This window comes from Homo sapiens, chromosome 8 (genome assembly GCF_000001405.40).
Source record: "Homo sapiens chromosome 8, GRCh38.p14 Primary Assembly".
Taxonomy (NCBI): Eukaryota; Metazoa; Chordata; class Mammalia; order Primates; family Hominidae; genus Homo; species Homo sapiens.
Window position 1 is genome coordinate 70588265 of NC_000008.11, and position 25121 is coordinate 70613385.

General features: G+C 39.0%; 1 protein-coding gene, 1 long non-coding RNA gene and 1 other non-coding gene across 6 annotated transcripts in view, besides 5 other annotated features; 2 read left to right on the forward strand and 1 right to left on the reverse strand.

Moving 5' to 3' along the window:
• Positions 1-20152, reverse strand: part of TRAM1 (translocation associated membrane protein 1) — a 35199-nt gene extending 15047 nt beyond the window's left edge. Inside the window, exons 1-7 of one of the 4 annotated variants that reach the window (NM_001317804.2) lie at positions 19956-20152; positions 19813-19872; positions 11755-11818; positions 9870-9991; positions 9631-9747; positions 7999-8057; positions 6242-6326 (exon numbers count right to left, since the gene is read on the reverse strand). In NM_001317804.2, coding sequence (NP_001304733.1) covers positions 6242-6326; positions 7999-8057; positions 9631-9747; positions 9870-9991; positions 11755-11818; positions 19813-19842 — 477 coding nt within the window. In that variant the 5' untranslated portion in view covers positions 19843-19872; positions 19956-20152. Of the gene's footprint in view, positions 1-6241; positions 6327-7998; positions 8058-9630; positions 9748-9869; positions 9992-11754; positions 11819-18612; positions 19406-19812 lie in introns of those variants that run through there. The other 3 variants (XM_047421636.1, NM_014294.6, NM_001317805.2) reach the window with 3 other exon arrangements.
• Positions 16268-16373, forward strand: LOC124902090 (small nucleolar RNA U13). Its single transcript, XR_007061220.1, has one exon. It is a non-coding gene; the product is annotated as a small nucleolar RNA U13 (small nucleolar RNA).
• Positions 19199-19648: a silencer, noted in NCBI's record as "silent region_19272". NCBI's record gives its function as "represses an Ori minimal core promoter by ATAC-STARR-seq in GM12878 lymphoblastoid cells {active_cell/tissue: GM12878}" and the evidence as "EXISTENCE:reporter gene assay evidence [ECO:0000049][PMID:35858748]".
• Positions 19669-19848: a silencer, noted in NCBI's record as "silent region_19273". NCBI's record gives its function as "represses an Ori minimal core promoter by ATAC-STARR-seq in GM12878 lymphoblastoid cells {active_cell/tissue: GM12878}" and the evidence as "EXISTENCE:reporter gene assay evidence [ECO:0000049][PMID:35858748]".
• Positions 19899-19958: a silencer, noted in NCBI's record as "silent region_19274". NCBI's record gives its function as "represses an Ori minimal core promoter by ATAC-STARR-seq in GM12878 lymphoblastoid cells {active_cell/tissue: GM12878}" and the evidence as "EXISTENCE:reporter gene assay evidence [ECO:0000049][PMID:35858748]".
• Positions 20019-20068: a silencer, noted in NCBI's record as "silent region_19275". NCBI's record gives its function as "represses an Ori minimal core promoter by ATAC-STARR-seq in GM12878 lymphoblastoid cells {active_cell/tissue: GM12878}" and the evidence as "EXISTENCE:reporter gene assay evidence [ECO:0000049][PMID:35858748]".
• Positions 20149-20318: a silencer, noted in NCBI's record as "silent region_19276". NCBI's record gives its function as "represses an Ori minimal core promoter by ATAC-STARR-seq in GM12878 lymphoblastoid cells {active_cell/tissue: GM12878}" and the evidence as "EXISTENCE:reporter gene assay evidence [ECO:0000049][PMID:35858748]".
• LACTB2-AS1 (LACTB2 antisense RNA 1) overlaps positions 20313-25121 on the forward strand; it is a 54703-nt gene continuing 49894 nt past the window's right edge. The window contains exon 1 of the long non-coding RNA NR_038881.1: positions 20313-20569. This is a non-coding gene — a long non-coding RNA (LACTB2 antisense RNA 1). The remainder of the gene's footprint in view (positions 20570-25121) is intronic.

Genomic DNA, 25121 nt, shown 5'->3' on the forward strand with positions numbered 1-25121 from the left:
ACCAGCATCTTTTAAAACATGAAATAAAATAGAAAATGTGGCCAGGCACCATGACTCACACTTGTCATCCCAGCACTTTGGGAGGCTGAGACAGGAGGATTGCTTGAAGCCAGGCGTTTGAGTCTAGCCTGGGCAACAGAGAGAGACCCCATCTCTACAAAAAAATGTTTTAAAAATTAGCCAGGCATGGTGGCATGTGCCTGTAGTCCTAGCTATTTGGGAAGCTGAGGCAGAAAGATTGCTTGAGCCCAGGAGTTCAAGGATGCAGTGAGCTAGGATTGTGACTGCACTCCAGCCTGGGCGGCAGAGCCAGACGCTGTCTCAAAAAGAAAAAAAAAGAAAAAGAAAATGCTAGAGTATATAGCACATTGTATTATGAAAATTGTATTCCACATTTTACACACACACAAACACACAATGAATTATGATGTAAAAAGTTTTTCATCTTTGGTTGCAGTAAAAATGTTTACAAAACACTGACAGTGATAAGCTCAACAGGCCAGCCTACTGACTAATGAAACACCTATACCTCATTTCTAATTTCCTTTGTTGTAGCAGTTTTCTTCGTATGTATATTTACAAGGATTATATTAGTCTAGTTAGTACTATTCATGTTCTACAGCTACTAATTAGAACGATGGAAATGGTGGGTTGCTGCTGGCAGGCTGAACTGTGTTCCTCTGCAGCCTCACTAAACTTATCTCTTGCATTTAGCACAGTTGAGTGCAGGTCTACTGGTCCTCCATTTCTCTGTGTTTCAGTACTGAGAGCTACTTCACCAAATCTTTTGAGGAGTAGAGATTTTTTGAAGTCTAGTTTTGAAATGGAAAACTCTTCTCTAGTAAGCATGGCGCAAAGATCAAGTTTTAGGTAGAACATAAGACAGTCTGAATATTACAATTTACAGTACTGTATTTTGGGACTCTTAGGAAAATTGATACCAAGTTTACAGTCATTCTTCCAATGGAAGAGAGAAGTATCTCTGAAAATAGACGGTCTTAAGATCCTCTCTACATAATTTGTAAATTTCCAATGAAATATTTCAGCTTACAAAAGGAAGGAGAAAGGGTGTTGAGATAACATGCAACCACAAGGGAACCTCTCTTCTCCCGTTATAATCATCTCAGAAAAGCTCACTTAGTATTATCAATGCAATTTGATGTACAATGCATGTAGAAGTGCCACTATATATATGCCAGTGTTTCCCAGTGTGGTGTGTACATTGGTACTGAACAAAATGATTGCAGACAGTACACAATGAAATACTTTTATTTAACTGTAACTAAAATTTTAAATAAAGTGGTGGATCACGCCTGTAATAACAGCCCTTTGGGAGGCTGATGCAGGTGGATTGCTTGAGCCCAGGAGTTCGAAACCAGCCTTGGCAACATGGCGAAACCCCATCTCTAAAAAAATACAAAAAATTAGCCAAGCATAGTGGTGCATGCCTGTACTTCCAGCCACTTGGGAGGCTGAAGTAGTAGGATTGCTTAAGCCTGGCAGGTTGAGGCTGCAGCTGCACTGAGCCGTGATTGTGGCCACTGCACTCCAGCATGGGTGATAGAGCAAGACCTTGTCTCAAAACAAAACAAAACAAAACAAAAACCCAAAATATTTTGTTATTTAATATACCTTAATAATTAAAATGTCAAAAGTATGAATTAGTAGTATGTGAATATGGTAAAGCAGGAAGGTGGCACATAAATGACTAGGTATAAAAAATATTGCCATATTCTTTCATATGTGTTACTCAATGCTCCACATTTCAGAGGAGAAAACAGACCAAGAAAACCCTTAAAACTTATGAGGGAAGCGTTTTAGTTTTTAACTGCTGATTGAACTCATTTCATTGCATAAAAACTTGGGTAAGGCAATGTAAAAAAAAAAAAAAACTAATTTGCTGGAAAAACTATAATGTAATGTAACTACTTAGGAGGATTTTTTTTTTTTTAATTTAAAAGAAATACAAGTAAGTTTTTAAAATTCACACTGGTCAATTAGCAGAGAACCTAAGCTGCCTACTCTTTTCTTCTCTGACAAGACTAAAAACACTATTATAAATTACAAACAAACTATAATTCAAAAAGCCATTCCATTTCTGATCTTTTGTCTTTAAATTTCAACCCAATTAGGTGGAGCGCAGTTGTGCTTGACATTAGCTAAGGAAAAATCCATAGAGTTTCTTTCCTAAGTTCAGATTCAACTTTGTATCTTAGCCCCATACCTCCTTTTTAAAAAATAGAAACATGGTCTCACTATGTTACTCAGGCTGGAGTGCAGTGGTTATTCACAGGTGCAATTATGCTGCACTGTAGCCTCCAACTCCAGGGCTCAAGTGATCCTGCTATCTCAGCCTCCTGAGTAACTGGGACTACAGGCATGCACCACTGTGCCCAGTAGCCTTTCCTTTTGGATAGTCAACCGAGTCAATAATAATAGAGGGTAAAATGCCATCACTAGGTTCTATCTTCACAACCATCAAATGCCTATGCAAAAGTTTTAAAAATAGTATCTATTGCTTTCAAAAAGGATTATCAAGAAACCTTTTTCTAAGTAATGGTCCATTCAGCTTTGCACAAATTGACTAGTGTCTCTAAAGCAGTGTTTGTACACTCAAAGCTTACCACAGAAAAAGTAAATTAGTAAGAGAATGGGTAAATACTTGTGTCACTTACTAGCTGAGGGACCTTAGGCAAGCTAATTAATCTCTCTGTATAATGGGGATAACAACAACAATAATAATAAAAAAAAAAAAGAGATGAGTAGAATACCACAAGGGGTGGTAGGAATTGTGGCTAACTTAACAAACACCCTACATAAAGGTATTCCCAAATGATTACAAAAAATACATGGAAGTAGGGGTAGTGTACCATGAGTTTTATTTTATTTTTAGAGATGAGTCTCATTACATTGCCCAGGCTGGTCTCAAACTCCTGGAATCAAGCCATCCCCTTGCCTCAGCCTCCCCAGTAGCCAGGACTACAGGTGTGTGCCACCATGCCTGGCTTACCATGATTTTTAAAATGATAAATTTTATCTAGAAAATGGCTACTTTTTAGTATTCCTGTGGTAGGCCAGCCTCCCTCAATGTTCTCCATTTCCTCTGGGGTTACAGCCCCGATGGCACGGTGTTCACATGTCTGAGGCCGACAACAAAGCCTTGCCTAGCACCAGCACAATGGTCTCTGGACGTACACATTTACATGGGTTGTGGGGGAAGGGAGAGAACAGAGAAGGCTGGGTGAAATCATAACAAATTATAAAATCGTAAATAACTTCAAGTGCCATTTTCAGTTGTTATTCCAACATCTGTTTATTAAAAAATATAACATACTTCAAAAAATTTATTTTTATAAAAAACACATTTCTTGACTACTCTATACTGAAAAATAAACAAAGCTGAATATCAAATATATGCCCCAAATATAAGGCAAAGATCTCCCCCCAAACCCCAGATGGTACATCTTATAATTAAATCTTTACAAAGCTCTGCATTATAGAGCTCTGTATTAATTATCTTGACAAATAAATGTTTGCGTAAGACACATACACCCGAAAACTTCAATCAATGTCATTTTTAAAGGTTTATAAGGTCTAATGAAGGAACCAGTGAGACAGAAGATGACGTCATGATGTGGAAAAAATGTCATCAGATTAAAAAAAAGTGGTTCTAGTGATGATGAATGACAGATACTAACATCAAAGTTGCATATGAAAAGTGTAATGAAACTTTCATGAAGTAGGAAGGGGGAAAATACTATTTCTAATACTTTATATGATATGCAATTATAGGTATGTATAATTATATGTATGTATAATTAAACTAAAATTGAATATTAGAAATAAAACATTTGGCTATTTCATGACTTCCCTAAAAGCTCATATATTCAAGCTGTCTACGAAATATTTTGAATCTTCTCATGGGCAAAATGGAGAACTGTTTATATACACAGTATATGTAATTTAAGTTTTATCTTTGAAAGAAACTAAGTTATTTGTGACTAACACACCTCTTGAACTGCTACTAACAGCGTTCCTTTCTTTCCTATTTGTCTGTATGATTGGTTCAAAACAATCACTGTACTAGTTTCTTCCAGTAAAGAGTTCCAAAAATAATTTTCATAGAGTAAATTTTAAGAAACTGTTTAACACATATGCAGCTGCTACTTTCAAATTATGTTAATTACTTGAAACAGTTACTTTCAACTGTCATATGCAGGTGTTAAAAATAGTTTCAGTTAAGTTCTGAGTTATGCAAATTATTCCATAAAAATTAGACTGCATTTCTGGAGAAGTGCCATCTGGCAGGAACTGATAAGAAAAGAGCTTCAGGAACTAAAATGAACAATTACTTTGAAATGTCCCTTCTTACTTACCATAGTCAATGAAGAAGATATAGACATGGATTAATAATGAAATCCAGAGGTATTTGTTCATGAGTATACAAATACCTTAAGAAGGCTTTAAATATCTGAGCCATGCTACTAAGACATCAAGAAACTATGATACTCTCAGTAGCGCTGTCCAATAGAACTTTCTGCAATCATGGAAATGTTCCATATCTCCTCTGTTCAAAATGGTACATACTAGCCACAGTAGCTAATAAGCACTTGAAATGTGGCTACTGGGGCTAAAAAAGTCAATTTCGTTTTTGTTTTTTAAGTTCATGTAGATGTGACTAGTAGTTAGCATTTTGGACAGTACAGCTCCACAATATCTATGATTCACATTAGGAGCTTACTAAACATGGAAGGGCTACTGGAATCTGGGCCTAACAATTTTATCTGAAGACAGTTCTAAATCAAGGGTTTAAAAATAAAAGGTCTTCATCCTATTCCTTATCAATATAGCTGGAGAAACAATCTACTTTATAAAAGAAATCAGCATAAAAAGAACTTAAGTACCATAGCATATGGCCTTTAATTTGGTGCTGTTTTCTAATCCTAGCAGACAACATGAGTAACGACAGATACACAGAACACAGACACGAAACAGTAGGAAATCAAGTGCCTAGTCCATGAATTAACTATTTGTAGCACACATAAAAATAGTGTTTTATGGCTTTTGAGTAGGCAAAGATAAACTAGTCACCAGACTGGCTGTCACACTTTCACTCCAGGTTTCTCAAAGGGGATTAAAAAAAAAAAAAAGAAATTTTAAATGCGGAAAAATGTAAACATATACACAACAGACAGAAAAGATTCTGACATACCCGTAACTCAATCATTATTAATAAACGATCAAACTTGTTTCATCTATATCCCTCTTCACTTTCCTTCACCTGGTATTATTTTGAAGTAAAATCCCACATAGGATTTCATATATGAGAATTAAAAAAAAAAAAAAAACTCCCAGAAAAAAGGGAAATGAAAGTACTTGATTAATTTATCCGAGGGAAGAGGTGTTCCAGGAAAAAGAAGTGATGTGCTGGGATTACAAAACTAGAGACTATCAGTGTGCATGAAGCATAAGGAGTAAGCAGAGAAAGAGGTCCCCGAGAAAAGATGGTGGCGATGGGAGAAACTCTCAGGGCACAGTTGAGCAGCATTACTCTAGTTTAAAGTAATAGGGAGCCAATACAGGTTTCAGAAGGGAGAGGGTAAAGAAAACGACTTTTGTGATAGCATGGAACCCGACTTCAGAAGCACTGAGGGTAAAACTAGGAAGGAGGATTTTGCAGTGCTCCAGCAGTTTACTTATTTGTTCAAATAAAACAAACAAATATCCTTTCCACATGCTAAAAAGGGAATGCTCTACCCATTTCAAGAGAGGCTTTGCTGGTGAATATTTAAATATATTTTACTTTTTTTTCCAATACTGAATTTTGCTTTAGGACTTACACACAGAACTGTTAGTTGTAATGTGACTAATCCTTTTTGGCTCACTTGTGAAATAATTTGCTAAGAATATCAGTAAGATAAAACAAATATTACATTTAAAAATTAGTTTAAATTTTAATTTACATTACCACTAACATAATTTTAAGACAAGCCATTAACATATCAAATGTAAAAAATCTAAGCTAAAATACTGACTGAAGGTTTTTTTTTTTTTTTTTTCAAGAAATGCTTAAGGATTTTAGGCTTTGTGGAAAGAGGGTTGGTGGGAGAATGATGGGGTAAGAGTTGAGGTAAGAAGAATGGAGGAAGGGCAAACATGTAAGAAAATACTTAATTTTAGAAAAATTTTTCAAAAAAAAAAATGACAAGACATTTTTTAACACTACAAAATCCCAGCTTACTTTTTTGGTTTTCTGGAAGTAGAGTTCAGGAAAAGCATGAAGCCAGTAAGCCAGCTGTGATATGTAGAAAAACTTCATTTGAAATCTGTACAACACAAGAAAATGAAGAGTACCTTTTAAAGCATAATTTTTTTAAAAAAAAGTAAACAAATACTGGAAATCAGGATATACTAAGTAACTACCTTTGTGTCATCATTCCATACAATATCTGTGCACCTTTAAACAACTCTTCAACAACCTCTTTCCCCATCTCCCTGTGACAGTCCCACCATTGGACAAGACCCCTGGATTAAACAGCAGGCAAAGATACTATCTGCAGAAAGCTATTGACATGTAAGCCAGTTGGGAGGAGTCAGAGCCCCTATTAGTTCATTAATACTGACTAGTATGTCATGTTAGCTACTGAAAACATAACCCACATGTCTATACAGTTTCATCAAGACAAGAAGGGGAAAAAGACTGACACAAAAGCAAAGGCTCATAGATTAATAATCACCTGAAACTGGAATAATCCCAATTTCAAATATCCTCTGTTTTTTTTTTTTTTCTTAGGCAAATATGGTAACTGTACCTGGTTGGAACATGGAGAAAGCCCCAAATAAATGGAGGCAGAGCTAGGATTAAAGACAGTCAGAATAAGGCACACAAGGGCTCTCCAGGAGCTATATCATAATCAGTCTAGAACCAATACTCTCCTCTTGACATTATATCCCTCTAGCCCTTCTGCTTCCTCTTTATTCTCCCTGCTCCTTCTCCTCCAGAAGTCTAAAATAGAAAACACAAAGCCAACCTAATTTCTTGGTGGTCGGGGTGGAGAGAATACAGTCCCACATAAATATAATATTTACAAAGTTCGTTGAACTAATAAAACTTTAGAAATCAGAGTATGATTCAGTAGAGTGGGTATTACTGCTAGACTTAAAATACCCACAGTCAGGTTATTCCCTTCTTTCCTTCGTATCTTCTCCCTTCTCCAATTCTCACATCACAATGTATTTACTAAATACTGTGTAGGTGACAAGCACTTGCAATGTACCTGGCACAATGAAGGATATAAAATAGTTTTTACCGCTACCAAGGCACATATAGTCTTAGTGGGTATGGGCACAATACAAGACTTACAAAAATGAGACAATTATAGAACAATCAAAACAATATATAGACACTACATCAAATTTCTACCAAAATGACAAATTTGGGGATACAAAAGACCAATACAGGCTAAAATAGCAAGGAAAATTAATATAGAATAGTTGTACTAGAGCTGGGCTCGAATAATGAATTATTCAGACGTCTTGGTAACCACTGAGCACTTTAACCCAGCAGCACTGTACAGACTAGAGAAATAAAAAAGAAACAATTCCTAACCTCAAGAAGCTTATAATAGGAGAAAGAAAGGAAGATGTGAAAAGAGACAGGGGGTGGGGACAAAGAAAAGGAGCAAAAATATAGAGAAGATGGAGTCATAAAAAGGAGAAAGTATGAGTGAAAAGAAGGGAAAAGAAGCGAGTACCAAATTAAGTTATGTTAAAATCAGTTGTCTCAAGCTTACAAAGATGTTGAAAAGATTAGAATAGAAACATTAAAAAAAGGTACACAGCTTTTTTTTTCTTACGGCAGTGGGACTGTCAAAGACATATTTTCATCTATTTTATGCATTTGCCTAAGGTCCTAAAGAGAATAACAAGAATGAATTCTGATTAATAGTGACATGACCATGGTCCTTAACAAAGAAAGGGCTGCTAAAAATGACTTACGTCATCAGGTTATGGGGATAAGCCCTCCATAAGATAGTTGGGTCTGAGATGTAGTTTTCCTAAGAAAGAAGATATAAAAATTAACCTGTGAGCATAATGCAAACTTCTTGGAAAATAAGGCATTACTTTCATTTCTCAAACATTTACAGGTCCCATACCAGGTTGCAAAGAACCCACTAATGTCAAAATCCTTAGTTGTTTTAGTTATTTTCAAGCCAATTTGAGTTGGTTACTTGAGCAAAATGAAAATCAATGATAGAAATGAGATATGGAATCAGGTAAGACATAATTCCTGGCCCTAAAAAATCTTTCAATCCCATAGAATAAAAATACACGTACACAAACAAACATAAAACCACCAATAAGAGGCACAACAGTGACCAGGAGAGAAGAATTTTGTCTTAGGTAATCAGAAGATTTCAGGAAAAGTTTGTAGCATCTGACAGGAGACAAAGGATCAGGGTGCTACCGAGTTTTATGGAATTACGTCAATAAAATACTGCCCCAATTTTTTTCTTAGATAATCAGATCTACTCAGTGAGAATTACTGCATATGTAAAAAAAAAAAAAAAAAGATTAAAAAATAAATAAAATCTAAAGTGATTTTTGTAAGAGTATTTTCCCACAGAAGTATAACTTTTATGTTTTTTTAAAAAAATGTATAATAGTTTTTAAACTAAAATTTACATATTACCTATAAAGTATTATTAAAGCAGCACAGTAAAATGGAATGAGCAATGGAATAAAAAGCTGAGTTTTAGTCTACTTCCAACATGAAGTGCTTTACCCTGGAAAACTCACTGTTATTCATCTCTAATACAGTGATTAGAAAGAATTATGTGTCTGACAAACTCAAAAGTATGTAAACTATGGAACACCATATAAATTTAAGGGATTGTTATCACTAATATTAAAGCAAATACTGCCTTTCTTTTTCTCATTAGTTAGAGTGATACAACTAAAGGTTTTGATTGCCATAACTGAAAAGTTATACAACATTTAAGAAGCTTGGAAAACACTGGGGCTGTTTTTAAAGGAGGAAATGACTGTGAACATTACAACTCATGTAACCTACGCTTTTTGCTGATACAGAGGTATCTGTAAACCACTATAAGATACAAAAGTAAGGCCGGGCTTGGTGGCTCAAGCCTGTAATCCCAGCACTTTGGGAGGCCGAGGCGGGTGGATCACGAGGTCAGGAGTTCGAGACCATCCTGGCCAACATGGTGAAACCTTGTTTCTACTAAAAATACAAAAATTAGCTGGGCGTGGTGGCGTGCGTCTGTAGTCCCAGCTACTTGGGAAGCTGAGGCAGGAGAATCGCTTGAACCCGGGAGGCGGAGGTTGCAGTGAGCCGAGATCATGCCACTGCACTCCAGCCTGGAGACAGAGCGAGACTCTGTCTCAAAAAAAAAAAAAAAAAAAAAAAAGAAAGATATAAAAGTAACATTCAGAGTGACTAAAAATGAATAAGCCTTTCTGAAACAGTAAACATAGTTTAGAATTTTTGCTGTATAAAAAAATACCTAAAACAGATTTATCACTGAAACTCTTAACTTAATACTATTTCATTAGCAGAGTTTCTAATCTTAGATAAGGAAGGAGAACAACAACCTAAGAGGACATACTTACAGAGATGAGAATGAATGTGCCCCAAACACAGGCAAAAAGGTAGAACGCACTAAGCTGACCAGATTCATTAAACTTGCTGTGTTTTGTTTTGGAGAAGTGCATTCGCCTGTTAATTTTCTAAAAATAAAAACAGCCATTAGTAATTAAGAATAAATTATAAATTATATTTAATATATGACTAGCAGATTATGGAGAGCTAGTACTTTATAAAGTATAGATTTCTAAGACTGCATACTTACATCCAACATATACTCTTGAATTACGGCATGAATAATTATCGCCACTAGCATGTAGAAGAAAACAGTAGCCAAATCTTTGATGCCATAGTAATAAAGGGACACTGATTCAGTAGCTTGTTCTTCTGAAGACCAAAAAGGACACAAATACACAAAAATATACACAAGGTTATAAAAACAGCATTAAGTACAACATAGTTATGGAAACAAAGAAGAATAACCTAATAAAAAAGTTCTATATTAACATCATAAATAACGTGGTCTTGGACATCTTGAGTCTTAGAGGGGCAATGAAAATCAAAACTATCTAGAAATCTAAAGCTTTAGAAATTACTTACAAAGACTTGACACATGTTAGTCACAGCCACCAAAGACCAAAAAACAGGGAAGAGGAGGCCACACTCAATAAACTGATATTATCCCAGGGGTATAAATTAGGTTGATAAAGTTATACTTAGCCTACTGACCTATTTTTTTCAAAGGGCTTTTGAAACTTTCTACTTCTACTTTCTAACTACACACTAAATTATGATTCTGATGAAAAAGCTGATTTGACCTGTATTTGATTTAGTTTTGATCTATAAGCAGCAGAGATAAAGGCAACTACTAAAGTTGTTTTTAATCCTTGCAATTGCTATAATTTTTCAAAACAAATCTTTATCAAATACTTGTGAATTGCTGACACTTATTCTCAAACTTTATGTTTATGGGGAACATATACATAAAAGAGCTTTATTCTTCTCTGGCATATTCAAATTTCAAAACAGTATTGTAGTTTTGAGTAACCTGATAACTAAATCACTAAATTAAATATTTACAAAACTGTACATAACTGAACAAAAACCCAACTCAGGGGCTAGATGCAGTGGCTCACCCCTGTAATCCCAACACTTAGGGAGGCAAGGATTGCTTGAGGCCCAAATTCAAGACTGACCTAGGTAGTATAGTGAGACTCCATCTCTATAGTAAATTGAAAAATTAGCTGGGCGTGGTGGTGTGCCCTTGTAGTCCCACCTACTTGGGAGGCTGACCTGGGAGGATCATTTGAGCCCAGAAGCTGGAGGCTGCAGTGAGCTACGATCACGCCACAGCACTCCTGCCTAGGTAACACATTTGGCAAGACCCTGTCATCTCTTAAAAACACACATATAAATAACAGCAACAACAACAAAAAACCCCAACTAAATGTGGTATACTATATTATCTTACATTCTAAATAAAAAACTGTGCAGGTTTACTGCCTCAACCAAAAAATACCCCATCCCTCACCCATGCTAGTTAATTATATCACTGTATTAAATTACAATCAACTTCCAAGAAACACCTAATTTTTACATAGATTAAGAAATAAGATTTTTGAAATAAAACCTAATAGTTTGGATGCTATTACCAGATAATTCCTAGAGCTTACTAACACATTTTCTGGAATCAAAATAATTGTTAAAAGTAGAGCACAGGAAAAAGTGAAAATAATCTTAGAAGGATTGATTGCTATTACAGGTCCAAAATGTAACTTACAGAAAAACTAAATCTGCCATTGTGCTTTTAGAAGTCTTGAATGAACAATGACATTTAAACAATTTTAAAAAGATCTTTTCTTATAATTTTCTTAGGAAAAAATCAGAAAGCAGAGAAAGCAAAACAAAATTATTTTATGGAATTTCAAGTCCATTCACAAAAATATATAGTAAACAGAAAACATATACAGGGTAAAGTCAATCAAAAACATCAGATCTTGTATTATAAAATCATCACAATAACATTCAGTCACATCATGGATGAGATCTCTGACGATTAATTAACGCAGGACCTAGCATTCATGAAAATTTCCAAGTTTGTTCAACTGAACTTCTATTTACGTAGAAAATTCTTAGCGTAAATTACCTACCTGTTGCTGGGAGGGTGACATTGTACTGAAGAGTAACAAAAATGATAGAAGCTTTTGCCGTTATCTACAAAGAAGGAAAAACAAAGATCAAGTCAATTTGTGACCCTCTCCCAAATAACAGATCGGGGCAAAAACATTATAAAATCTGTCCCTAAATCGAAGCACCAAGGGCCTCCTCGTTCCTGTGGAATCCTGACAGACACAATGGAAATTACTGATTGCCAAGGAGCTAATGTAATTCACTAGAGTACTCTTCTGCGGTTTAGGTAAAATTGTGTAATTCATCCTTAATTTTAAGATTTCAAAAGACATTTTCTGCAGTTCCAGAAAACAGTTATTTGACAAATGATGATTCTCTACTCTAGCCCTATACAATGAATAAAAAGTTCCTATTAAGACAAATTTCAAGTGTAAATTAATAAAATAAAGAGAAGCACAGTTAGCATGAGAAAAGCAGATCAAATATAGGGTCTGTGGTGTGGGTGTGTTAGTATCCCACACACCCAGCAGAGTTAAGTGGTCAATAACTGTTTAACTGACCTGACTACTGGTAAAAGTAAACTGGTCAGAGCAGAAAAATGGAATGCTTACCCAATCTTTACAGGCACCAGGCAAAGTGCTAGACAAAAAAGGACGAGATGAAGATGGATAAAATAATCCCTAATGACAAGGAGCTCCGTGGTGTGAAAAGTACAGGTAAATAAACTGTTATAATACTGTAGAATAAGTGCCAATAGCTTGCACTGTGGGTACTTGGGATAAACAATGAGCTTTGTTGGTTTTTTTTCTGGGGTGGAATGAAATGAAGGAGCTGTGTTTTGCTGGAAAATAGGTGTTCCCTAGGTTCACAAAGGGGGATGAAGAGGACAGTACAGATAGAAGAAACAGAGCGTGGCAAGATCAAGTAGCAGTGAACACAAGGCCAGGCACAGGATGCACATCAGGAAGCGTTAGAAAAGACTAGAAACATTATTGAGTGCTAGAAAGGACTCTGTTTTTTGAGCTAAGTAGTTTAGATTTCACTTTCGCACAAGTGGAGAATGTTGAGGACGGGAAAGTTCATTTATGCCTTTTAGAAGGATTGCTCTCTGTGACCTGCTAAGTGGTATCCCAGGCCCCTTCAGATCCATTCTCCATATTGCAACTAGAATGATTTTCTCATCATGTTACCACATCCCCCTCCCTACCTGCTAAAAATCCTTCACTAGATTCCCATCTTTCTAGGAGAATGTGACCATAGGACTCTATGGTCTGACTCCTCTCTCTGCCTCTGCAGCACCTTCTACCACAGGGTCTCTGCACATGCTGTTCTATCTAAAATACGGTCGGAAAATATTTCCCATCAGATCTCAGTTGCATTACACCTTTTCAAGGAAGTCTCCCTGTCTTCCTAGAGTAGGTCATTTCCTTTGTTAGATTATCTCAGAGAACTGTGTTCCTTTCCTTCAAAGGCATACTCTGGTTGATTATATTAATAATTTCTGTCTCGCCCATTAGAAAGTAAGCTCCATTAGAACTGGGATCATGCCTGTTTCCACTCATCACTATATTTCAGAGCCCAGCATGGGGCCTGGTACATATTAGGTAATTAATCAATATCGCTGAATAAATATCAGTTAAAAGTACAAACCGGAGTGAGCATGCAGCCAAGAATGAAACTTCTGCAAGAGACCACATGAAAGATAATGAGACCTGAACTAAGACAGTGACTGTGGGATACAGGAGGCACTCATAAGGCAAAATAAGGTTTGGTAAGCTAGAAGAAAGAGTACAAGGTTATTTATTGATGCCTACAGCTGAGATTTCTGGGAGATGAGCAGTAAGGCAGCTAAAACCTAAGTCTAGAACTCAGTAGGGAGAACCTAGCTTAAATAAAGATTTGGGAGTCTCTTTCTACAGATAATAGCTGAAGCTGTGAAAATACATAAATCATATATGGAGAGTGCACAGTATTTGTAGAGAAGTAGGACAACATCAGACCCATGGAGAGAACAGGGAAAAAAGCAAAACTTCAAGTCACTGAAACTAAGAAAAAATGGTTAGAGAGACAGAGAAAGAAATAAAAAGAGCTTGTAGTCCCAAAAGCCAAAGGGGAAACATTTCTAAAAGGTGTGGTTAATAAAGTCAAAAGTTTCAAAAGAGATGTGGGAGGAAAGAGAACGATAGACTGGACAATTTAAGAAGTCATCAGTGGTCACAGCTTGAGTGATTCCAACTAAGTAGTGAGAGCAGGAGCTGCATTGCAGTGGACTGAAGAACACAGAGGCACAAGGTGGTATCCAGTAGATGCCAGGTCAAATTTTATGTTGTTTTCAGGATAGGAGAGATTGAGCTTGTGTGGGGGCAACAGTGAAGGCAACAGGGAAAAGGGAGAAGTTAAACACACAGGATAGAAAGAGAATAACGGATGGAGGCATATGACAGGGAACAAAATTGTAAGGACTGAGTATTGCACTCTTGAACAACTTTTCCTCTTAGATGGGAAGAAGGCAGTAATGGATGGGACACATAACTTCAAAAGACAGGAAAATGAGGAAATCCGTGCTTGATAAACTTTTATTTTCCCTGTGTGAGAAAAAAGCAATGTCACATATTAAGCATAATGGGGACATGAATGGTGACTATTTATATAGTTCCCATAGGGAAAGGAGATGGCCAGGGAAAGTAAAAAGATACCGGATGCGAATGTCTGAGGTTAGAAACCTTTGATTTGCAATATTATCTACTAGCATGAGTATGACTTTCTCTGGGAATTGAGAGGCACCGAAAAGGCCAATAGTGGAGTAAAGATTGCAGGAAGAAAGGCAAAACAATGAGGGGGCTAATATACTGGAGAAAGGGAAAGGGGGCCGTGGTACCACAAAAGCTTGGACTAGGTAGAGCACTGACTTATGAGTACTAGAATGAGGGAGGTGAACAAAACGTAGGTTGTAGCTGAACTCTGTTATCCTAGAATTCAGGAAGTGGAAGAAGTCAGGCTTGCATGACAAACTGCAGGATACGGCCAGTAAAGTGAGTTGCCGAACTGGGTTAGATATGAAGGTCTCTTGAGTAGAAAAGGCTACTAAGGCTACTCTATTAAAATTTGGGTCATTAACAAGGACTCATTAGAGCAGAACGATGACATGAGTCTCCAGGGCAACACTACTTTCATGTGATTATTTTTAGTAAAGTTGAGTGGTCACTACATTTCATTTAGTTTTGCTATCTTTGTTTAGATTTTTTATATATATATATAGTCTAAACAATATATATCTATATATACACACTATATATATGTTTTATACACACACACACACACACACACACACACACAATCTGTTTTACACACAAACACTCCACATCCCTGTTTCCAGTTTGTAATATGAAGTCACCACTGTCACACCTAAGAACACTTTGTTAAAGAGTCCTTTACAGGCCAGGTGTGATGGCTCACACCTGTAATCCCAGCACTTTGGGAGGCCAAGGTGGCTGGCTCACCTGAGGTCAGGAGTTCAAGACCAGCCTGGCCAACATGGTGAAACCTCATCTCTATTAAAAATACAAAAATTAGCTGGGCATCGTGGCGGGAGCCTGTAATCCCAGCTACTCAGGATGCTGAGGCAGGAGAATCACTTGAACCCAGGAGGCGGAGGGTGCAGCGAGCTGAGATCACGCCATTGCACTCTAGCCTGGGTGACAGAGTGAGGCTCCATCTCAAAAAGAGTCCTTTACAAACAACAAATGAGATTCTTCAAAGATAAATTTAGCATCAAATTCTAAAAGCAGCAAAAATTAGATTATCCTTTTAGCCAGGCTTCCAAATAAAATTAAAATTTGACCTCCAGCTGGTTTAGCATGTGAGTTTAAATAGAAGAAGAAGAGGAAAAATGTAAACTACACACTCCAAAAAGTTTCAAGTTTAAGCTAGCAGTCTTGCTCCTAGCCATTTCCAGGCCTCCTAAGCCTCACACCCTGCTAGCATTGCTGCAGTTAAACTCACACCACAATTAATTAGTAGTAAGATAAGTTAGTTTAGAATATAAATAGGCTACAGAAATATATAATGCACTCGAAAGTAAAAATACCTGAGTTTATGACAGTTTGAACATTTACAGAGCTGCTCTCCATTTACAAAAATGGAAAAATGAAAAAAGAGACTTATTCAGATGCATCTTAAATAGGTTACCAGAAACTGTAATGAATTACCTAATTCTATGCTGTATGCAATGTCATAAATACAACATTTCTTTAATTAAATGTCACCGGTTGGGGCTTGGTATCTTTCTTGTTATATAGAGATGTTAACTACTTTGCACTTGTTTTAGAGGAAGATGTGACCAGTCACTACATGGACTGGATCCTTGAAAAGTAAAGACAATTCTGAATATCAAATTCCACTTCCAGTGGGGCTCAGTGGCACGTGCCTGTAGTCCCAGCCACTCAGGTGGCGAGAGGGGAGGATCACTTGAGCCCAGGAGGTCAAGTTCCAGCCAAGGCAACATAGCAAGACCCTGTCTCAAAAAAAAGAGAGACCCTTTTGTAGTTCACAAGTGTGATGATTGGGGTTTCACGCTTATATGTGAGATGTGTCTCTCCCTCAAACTTTGTTCTGACCTGAGCACCTTACCTGTCATAAAAAGAAAGAAAAAAAGGAAAGAAAAAAAAAACCCAAACCTTGAAAACTGTTTCAAGATTGTTGAAATTGTAAACGTCCCCAAAATCTGTATGGCATAAAGAACTTGCAGATTTTGAATATCTTTCCTTTTGAATATATTTCCTTTTGAATATCTTTCCTTTATACACTCCTTAAAAGAAATACTTCTCTTGTGAACCCCTAATTCTTCACCCCTCCTCCACATACTCACTTTCAGAAAGCTTCCCAAGCATCCCTAACATTTTTTGACCATTCAATTTTTCCTAACTCAAATATGAAGCCATTCATTGTATACTATGATTTGAATTATGTGGACAGATATTTACTGTAATAAAACTATGATTCCAAAATTTACAAGCAATTTTTGATTAATGTGAAGTTCCCTGGAAATTAAACTCTTACATTACTGCCAAACAGACTACTTTGTTAGCCTTTTCAGTATGTATAATCTCTTTAGATGCTAACTAAAGAGATTCCAGGCCCTTCTCTCACATAAAAATGCTTTCTATTTCCCAATTTTGGTGAGTTTTTAAAGAATAATAATAGCTACCACTTATTGCACACCTTTTGGAAGTCAAGTATTGAACTAGGCATAATACAAATTGGTTAATTTGTCAGAGTAACCCAATAAGCCCCATTTTACAGATGAGGAAACTTCAGTTCTGAGCTGCCCTAGGTCACCCAGTTAGCAAGCTGCAGAGCCCTAACTTGAACATGAATCCCTTCAGCTCCAGAATCCATGCTTTTACAGTGTATCTCCATTGCTTCTTCATTTTGGCTAGTAATACAGTATTTCTTTCTTTCTGAATTTCTTTGTCAATGTCACCATAAATCCTCTGACATTTCCTCAATGTATCTGCACAACAGGCTTAACAGTTCTGCAAAAAAAAATCAATTTCTCTATTATTCTAGCACAAGTACTGTAATTCTATAATTATGTTAACTTTGAGATTCAGCAGCAATTGTTTTAAAAGTCGAATAGCAAAACTAACCTAGTCTACAAAGTCCTATATATAGATAACATGCTTTGAAATCCTAACACCTTAATATATGGTAAGAAAAAGGAAGAACTCGCACAAACTTCACTTTTGTGTATCACTTTAACACTCACTTTTGAATTGACTTAAAAACCTCTATTTAGTATTTTTGTCTATTTAGATTTTCAAATTTTATAAATTTATATAAAGGTGAAAATCCACTGTTTAAAAAAATCACTAACATGTGAGGCAAGGTATAGGTGGTGGACTTCCCTAGAAATATAGTAAGAGAATGTAAAATAGTTTATATAAAATCAAAGTTATACTATGTGTCAGAATTTCTGATTTATATTTCATTTCATTCAAAGCACTGCAAATATACCTTGCAGGTCACAGTACCCCTAAAATATGTTTTTAAAGTCAGGAATTCTTACCATGTGGAGATGGTTTATGACAAGTTACAGAAAATTGAATATACTACATATATTAAAGTACTACTTTAAGGTCAAAGCAGAAAGTACATGCAAGTATCAAATTCAGAAAGTGAATACAAATGTTTAACATTGGGTTTTTTTTGAGACAGGGTCTTCTTGCTCTGTCCTTCAGGCTGGAGTGCAGTGGTGAAACCTTGGCTCACCGCAGCCTCCACCTCCTGGGCTCAAGTAATTATCCCACCTCAGCCGCCCAGCTGAGACCACAGGTGCGTGCTATCTATCACTCCTGGCTAATTTTTAAAAAATCATTTGTAGAGACAGGGTCTCCCTATGTTGCCTAGGCTGGTCTCGAACTCCTGGGCTCCAGTGATTCTCCTGCCTTGGCCTCCCAAAGTGTTGGGATGTTTACAGGCATAAGCCAGAGCACCAGGCCTAGCACTGTATTTACCTTCACACCATATCATCTGATACTTGCAAAAAATGGCTGTGAGGAGAACAGTACAGGTGATATTATTTCCTGATAAAGAGCAGAAAAATTGAGGCTCAGACTTGGGTCACCCAGTAGGTAGGTGGCACAGCCCAGACTTAAAGCTTGAGAATGTTAGTTTCCTTCTACCTACCCTTTAACTATACCTGCTACCTCCTTAGCAGTGGTTTCAAACATGCATGACACAATCAGGAGTAAATAATATCTGTATCTAGATCCAGAAAAGCCCATTTGATGAGAGGCGAAAATAAGGTTAAAATATTATTTAATTTTAAAATTAAAAAAAAAAACAAATATGCTCCATTAAAAAGAAAATGTATTCACCTTTTGGTCACTGGTAATATCATTCCATTAGGTTTTCTCAAGGATTCTTAACGTCGCTCATCTTTTTTTAAGCACTCCTATGTCCCAGGCACTATCCTAGACTCTGGAAATACAGACTCGTAAAAATACTCCAAAATCTCTACTCTCACTTGTTACATGCAGGAGAGAGGAGACAAAACAAGGCAGGAGCAAAATAATTTGTATATTTACTGAGACATAAAGGCTCCAGAGAAAAATTAAAAAGGGAAAAAAGCAAAGGAATGAGCGTGTGTATTGGGGAGCGAGGGGAAAAACGTAGGATGTTACTCGTTCACCTTGCAAAGTTTATCATCCACATTCAACAGCTGTTAAATAAGTCATCAAAATACTAGATACGTGGGAAGAGAATTTACACACTCCTGACATTCCCATCCTCTCCTACTTCAAGAAACAAAATTACTCGATTCCTTGGCACCGCTGTTCAGAACCTCGATTTATCCATCAGACCTTGTTTCTTTAAAGCGTCAGGGCAAAAAGTTCGTTAACTGGTAATAATATCAGTTTAAAAGACAAAAATGAAAACAATCTGGCGCGCCTCCACTGCGCCGGTGCCCGGCGGCCACCGCCCTTCAAGTCGAAAGCAGATGCCTGACTCCGGTTTCTCGCTCACCCCAATCTCGGAGCTACCGGGGGCTCCCCTGTCACTCGGGGCCTGTGGTCTCCAGGCCGGCACTCCTCAGACCCGGGGGCCGGGCCTCGGCCTTCCCCGGCCCTCGCGGGGCTGACGCTCACCGCGGCCGAGGCTGGCAGTCCCCCCAAGTCCGCCCACCCGCCCCGAGCCAGCTCGGCAGCGCAGGGGCCGCCCCCGCCCGCAGGCCCCTCGCCGGCTGCCACGTAACCCTTCGCGGGAACCAGGAACTGCGCCGCGCAGCCTGCGGGAGGGGGCGGCGGCGGGTCAGGAAGGGGGCGACGCGGCGGTCCCCACCCCCTGCGGGCCGCGATGAGGCCCACCGGGACTTTGCATCTCCGGGCCGGCCGCCGGGGAGCTGCCGCCGACGTGGGGCAGGGCAGGGAAGGCCTGCACCTCAGGGACTGGGGGTCTGCACCCACCCCGGGCCCGAGCCCCCCGCGTCCTGGGCGGAGAAGCCGGGGCTGGCATCTGGAGCCCGGGCCCGGGCTGGAGGTGGCGGGGCAGGCGGTTGGGACTCGGGGCGGGCTCACCTCAAACATGAGCCCCAGCAGGAAGACCATCGCCACACAGGAGACGATGTCCGCGTGATTCTGCAGGACGAATTCGTGGCTCAGCACTGGGGGGCTCTTGGTGCTTTTCTTGCGAATCGCCATGGTGGGGCCGCCGCCCGCGCCTGCAGGTGCTCCGCCCCGGTTCTGCTCTTCCCAGCTGCTCACCGACTCGCCGCCGCCTCCCGCTGGCTGCTCCTCACGGCCCCGCTGCAGCCGCTCGCTGGGGCTTCACTTCCCATCCCACAGCCAGTACGCAGCCGCCGGGCCGCCCGGGGGAAAAAAAAAAACACAACAGCTAGCCCGCAGCGGGGGCGAGCATGCGCACCAGGGAGACGACGCTCCCTGGTGCCGCGGCCGCCTCCGCGAGCCCACAGCGCCACCTGGGGACCGGAGGCCGCTGGCCCGCGGCCGGGCGAGCGTGCAGGAATGTGAGCGGCGCTTCCCTGCTTCGCGCCGGGCCCGGGTTTGGGAGTCGTTTGAGGCGCGAGCTTCCTGCGCCTGCTCAGCAGCCTGAGGCCGCGGCCGGGTGCCCTCCTGCCCTCCTGGCCATCCAGGGATTGGGTGTCAGTGGCCTGTTGCACATTGTCACTTCTACAAGTGACTAACACCGTCAGGATAATCTAAAACTACGAATACTACCTGACTCCACAAGGGTACGGTGTATTCTCCAGTTTTAGCATCTGCCTTAAAAATTACCTCAGAGTTAAGCACTGCTGGGGACTTATTTCTACTCTTGGTAAGTTTGGACTAACTTAAAAAAAAAAAAAGAGCTGACCCTATTCTGGTCTGCCTCTCCGTCCCCACCCCCATCCCCGTCCCCATCCCCACCCCTATCCCCCACTGGCCTCAGACTGAAGACGAAGGGATCAGTTTGGGTTTACTGGCTTCACATATATTCAAATTAACAACATGTTTTAGTAATCTAAGGGAAATAGTAAAAGAGTTAAAAAGGATCGTGGATTAAGACACGTCCTCCTCTTATCGTTTTGCCCAAACCTGGAGTCCTTTGTATTCTTTTTCCTGAAGAATTGCTCTCCTGTTTACCCATAAGCCAAATGTAGAAACCAAAGTCATGCTAGATTGAGCCCTTTCAGCGCCCTTCCACATCCAGTCATCACCAATTCGAGGCAGACCTATCACCCCGCTTCCCCACTACCGCAGTCCGAGGGTACTTGCCTCTTGCCTACAATATTACAACTCTGGTGTAACCACTTAGTGGTTTAAGAATGTGGGTTGTTAAATCAGAATTCTGCCACTTATTACTTGTACGATCAAGGACAAGTTACTTAATCTCTATGGGACCCGATTTCCTCATTTTTAAAAATGTATTCATTTATGTACTTACTGAGGGTTGACTGTGTCCTGGGCACTGGGGATACAGAACTGAAATACAAATTAAATTATTCCTAGGGACTTATCATTCTAGTGTGGGAGAGAATCTTTAAACAAGATTTCAAAAGCGAAACAGATGTTAAATTGAGTTGAGCAACCAGGAGAAAAATAAAGCAAGGGGAATAGGAAAGTGCGAGGCACTTATACTTGCCTGAAGACCTGCAGGAGGTGAGGGAGCAAGCCCTGTGGATATCATCTATAAAGTGGGGATAACTATTGCTCATTTTAGTGATTAAATGAGATGATTGAAGGAAACTGCTTAGCGGGGAGTAAGGGCTTTATAAATTTAGTCAGGGATTATTCTTTTCCTCCTTCTGGGCAATCACTAGTTTCATTTCCCTTCAGATCACCTTTCAACGTTTATACTAGAATGATGCTTCTACTGGCAGAAAGTTTTTCAGCGGGTTCCCTTTCCCTTCATGGAAAGCTAGCATGATGAAATAGCCCTTTCTGATTTGGTCCTTGCCTACCCCAACAGACTGGAGCCCTGCATCTACAGGCCATAATCTCTGTACCAGCATTATTGACTACACACACTATACAGTTGCCTCTCCATATCTGTGGGTGCCGCATACACTGTGGATTCAACCAACCTGGAGTAAAAGATATTCAAGAAAAAAACTGCATTTGTACTGAACATCTACAGACTACCCCCCCATGATTATTCCCTAAATAATATAGTACAGCCAACTATTTATTTAGCAGTTATGTTGTGTTATTATAAGTAATCTAGAAATGATTGGAGGTCTGTGGGAGGATTTAGGATATTCTTTACCAGAATATTGCATCATCTTATATAAGGCACCTGAGCATGGGTGGATTTCGGTATCCGCGGGGGCCCTGGAACCAGTCCCCTGTGAAGACTGAGGGACGACTGTACATGCCATGACATGCTCTCTTCCCATGCTCTCCCCTGCCTTTGCGTGTACTGCTGTCTCTGTCTGGAATGTTTTCTCCTGTCCTTTCATAGACACAGCAGGCTCCTGCTGTTCCTTCATGTCTCATTTACACATGACCTCTTCGAAAGCTTCACTGAATTCTGTGACCTAAGCAATTTATCTTTTATGATTCAATTGCATTTTTGAAATAGTTTTATTGCAGTATAATTTATGTCATATAGTTCAGCTATTTGAGATATTCAATTCTGTGGTTTTTAGTATGTTTGCAAAGTTGTGCAACAATCACCATAATATAACTTTAGAACATTCTTGTAATCTCTAAAAGAAACCTTATACACATTACCAGTAACTCTCCATTTCCCCTCATAGTCTTGGCAGCCCTTGGCAACAACTGACCTATTTTCTACCTCTCTATATTTGCTTATTGTGGACATTTCTTTTTGTTCTTTCTTTGTTTCTTTTCTTTCTTTTTTTGAGATGGGGTCTTGCTCTGTTGCCTAGGCTGGTGTACAGTGGCATGATCATAGCTCACTGCAACCTTGGACTCCTGGCCTCAAGAAATTCTCCCACCTCCCAAAGTGCTGGGATTACAGGTGTGAACCACCATGGCCAGCTTGGACATTACATGTAAATAGAATCATGATCTTTTGTGACTGACTTCTTTCACTGAAGATAATGTTTCCAAGGTTCATCGATGTTGTAACATGTATCAGTACTTCACTCCTTTTTATGGCCAAATAATATTCCATTGTATGGCTATAGCACATCTTATTCATCAGTTGATGAACATTTGTGTACAAGTTTTTGTTTGAACTCAATTCCTTTGGGTATATACCTAGCAGTGGAATTGCTGATCATAAGGCAACTTTATGTTTGACGTTTTGAGGAACTCTCACACTAATTTCCAAAGTGAATGCACTATTTCCCATCCTATTAGCAATGTGTAGAGGTTCCAATTTCTTCCCATCCTTGCCAATACTTTTATTTTCTGTCTTTTAATCTTATCTGTCCTAGTGGGTGTGAAGTAATATCTCATTGTGATTTTGCTTTGCATTTCCCTGAGCACTAATGATATTGACTACTAGCCTTATCAGGTGCTCAGAAGCCATCTGTATATCTTTTTTTGTAGAAATGTCTATTCAAATCCTTTATCATTTCTAAGTTGGATTAATTTTTTAAAGTTTATTGAGTTGTAAGGGTTTAAAAATATCTATTCTATATGTCCATGTTGTTCTGTAATTTATTTTAAAAAATAAAAGATAGATTCTAGATCTTAGCAGATATATGATTTGAAAATATTTTCTTTCAGTCTGTCTTTTTACTTTCTTGATGGTTTTCTTTGAAGCACAAAAGTTTTTAATTCAGCAAAGTCCAACTTACCTGTTTTCTCTTTAATCACTTGCTATTGTTGTCCTATATAAGAAATCAGTGCCTAACCCAAGATTCCAAAGATTTACTCCTGTGTTTTCTTCTAAGAGTTTTATGGTTTTAGCTCTTACACTTGGGTCTATGAGGACTCACTTGTATTTTGTACATAATTTCATTTTAGCAATAATCATACTATCTTCTATTGTTTGCAAGTCTGTCTTCCCACTAGACTGGTACTCCTCAGGAACTGGGAGTTGTTTCATTTTTCCAGCTCCTACTACCTGGTGCTATACTGTCAAATATTTAGTGGTCATTATTTATTGAGGGAATGAAAAGAAAAAATACCTCACATAAATGAGAATAAAACCTTAAGATAGTTTAACCAAGAAACAAACATAAAAATGATATATGGCTCTACAAAGTTACTCATTTTAAATATATTTAAAGAAGACTTGCAATGCACCAAGCAAGTCCTGAGTTGTAGGATATAATTATTAACAAGACAGATTTAGTCTTTGTTCTTGAAACGCATACCTGGAATAGAAGACAGACAGTAAACAATGACCAATGTGATGGATATTTACAAAGAGACAGTGCAAGGTGCAGTAGAAGTGTTCTAGGTCATTTGGAAATGAATTGCTCTACTAATGTCAGTTTTTAAACTGAAATTGGTCCTTTCAAACCTTAGAATCTGGTGATTTTTCACTCCTTTGTGAGAAGACCACATTGGTCTTCTTTCAGCTGCTTAAACATATCATACTCTGGCCAGCCATAGGACTTGAGATGACCATTGGGTTTTTGTTGTTGTTGTTTGTTTGTTTGTTTTTGAGATGGAATCTCGCTCTGTTGCCCAGGCTGGAGTGCAGTGGCACGATCTCAGCTCACTGCAACCTCTGCCTCCCAGGTTCAAGTGATTCTCCTGCCTCAACCTCCTGAGTAGCTGGGATTACAGGCACGTGCCACCAGGCCTGGCTAATTTTTGTATTTTAGTAGAGATGGGGTTTCACCATGTTGGTCAGGCTGGTCTCGAACTCCTGACCTTGTGATCCACTCGCCTTAGGCTCCCAAAGTGCTGGGATTACAGGTGTGAGCCATTGCGCCTAGTGACCACTGGGTTTGGTAAGATGGAGGTTGTGTGGTTATGTTAGTTTGGGTTGTCCAGGAAATAGATGCCAAGAAGGAGTTAGAAGCATAAGAGACTTATTGGCAATAACATTTGTGAAAATTAAAGGGGAGGGGAGTTAACAGGGAAAAGCTTCAGGCTGTAATGTAGATCTGATCCCTGTGAAAGGAAGGAAGAAGGATCAGGCAGGAAGAGCCTCAGACTGAGGTGCAGCTGAGAAAGTTTTGGCCAGCCTTGTGTGTAGAGCTCCAGCACAGAGACTTCCCATTGAGGATTTCCACATTGGATGGAGATGATGAGTCCTTGGACCGCGACAGTGCCCTGTCATGCACTGTGGGCTCCTACCCTGCACTCTTGCTATCTTCCACAGAAGGTCCTGGCTTCTGTCAGGAGACCCTCTCTCCACAAATCTCTCTTGGGCTTTGGTAATTATCTGTCTTGCTCCTTCAGGGACCCTATTGTTTATAGCCTTGGGGTACTGCAGTATCATTTGCCGTTTCCTTACC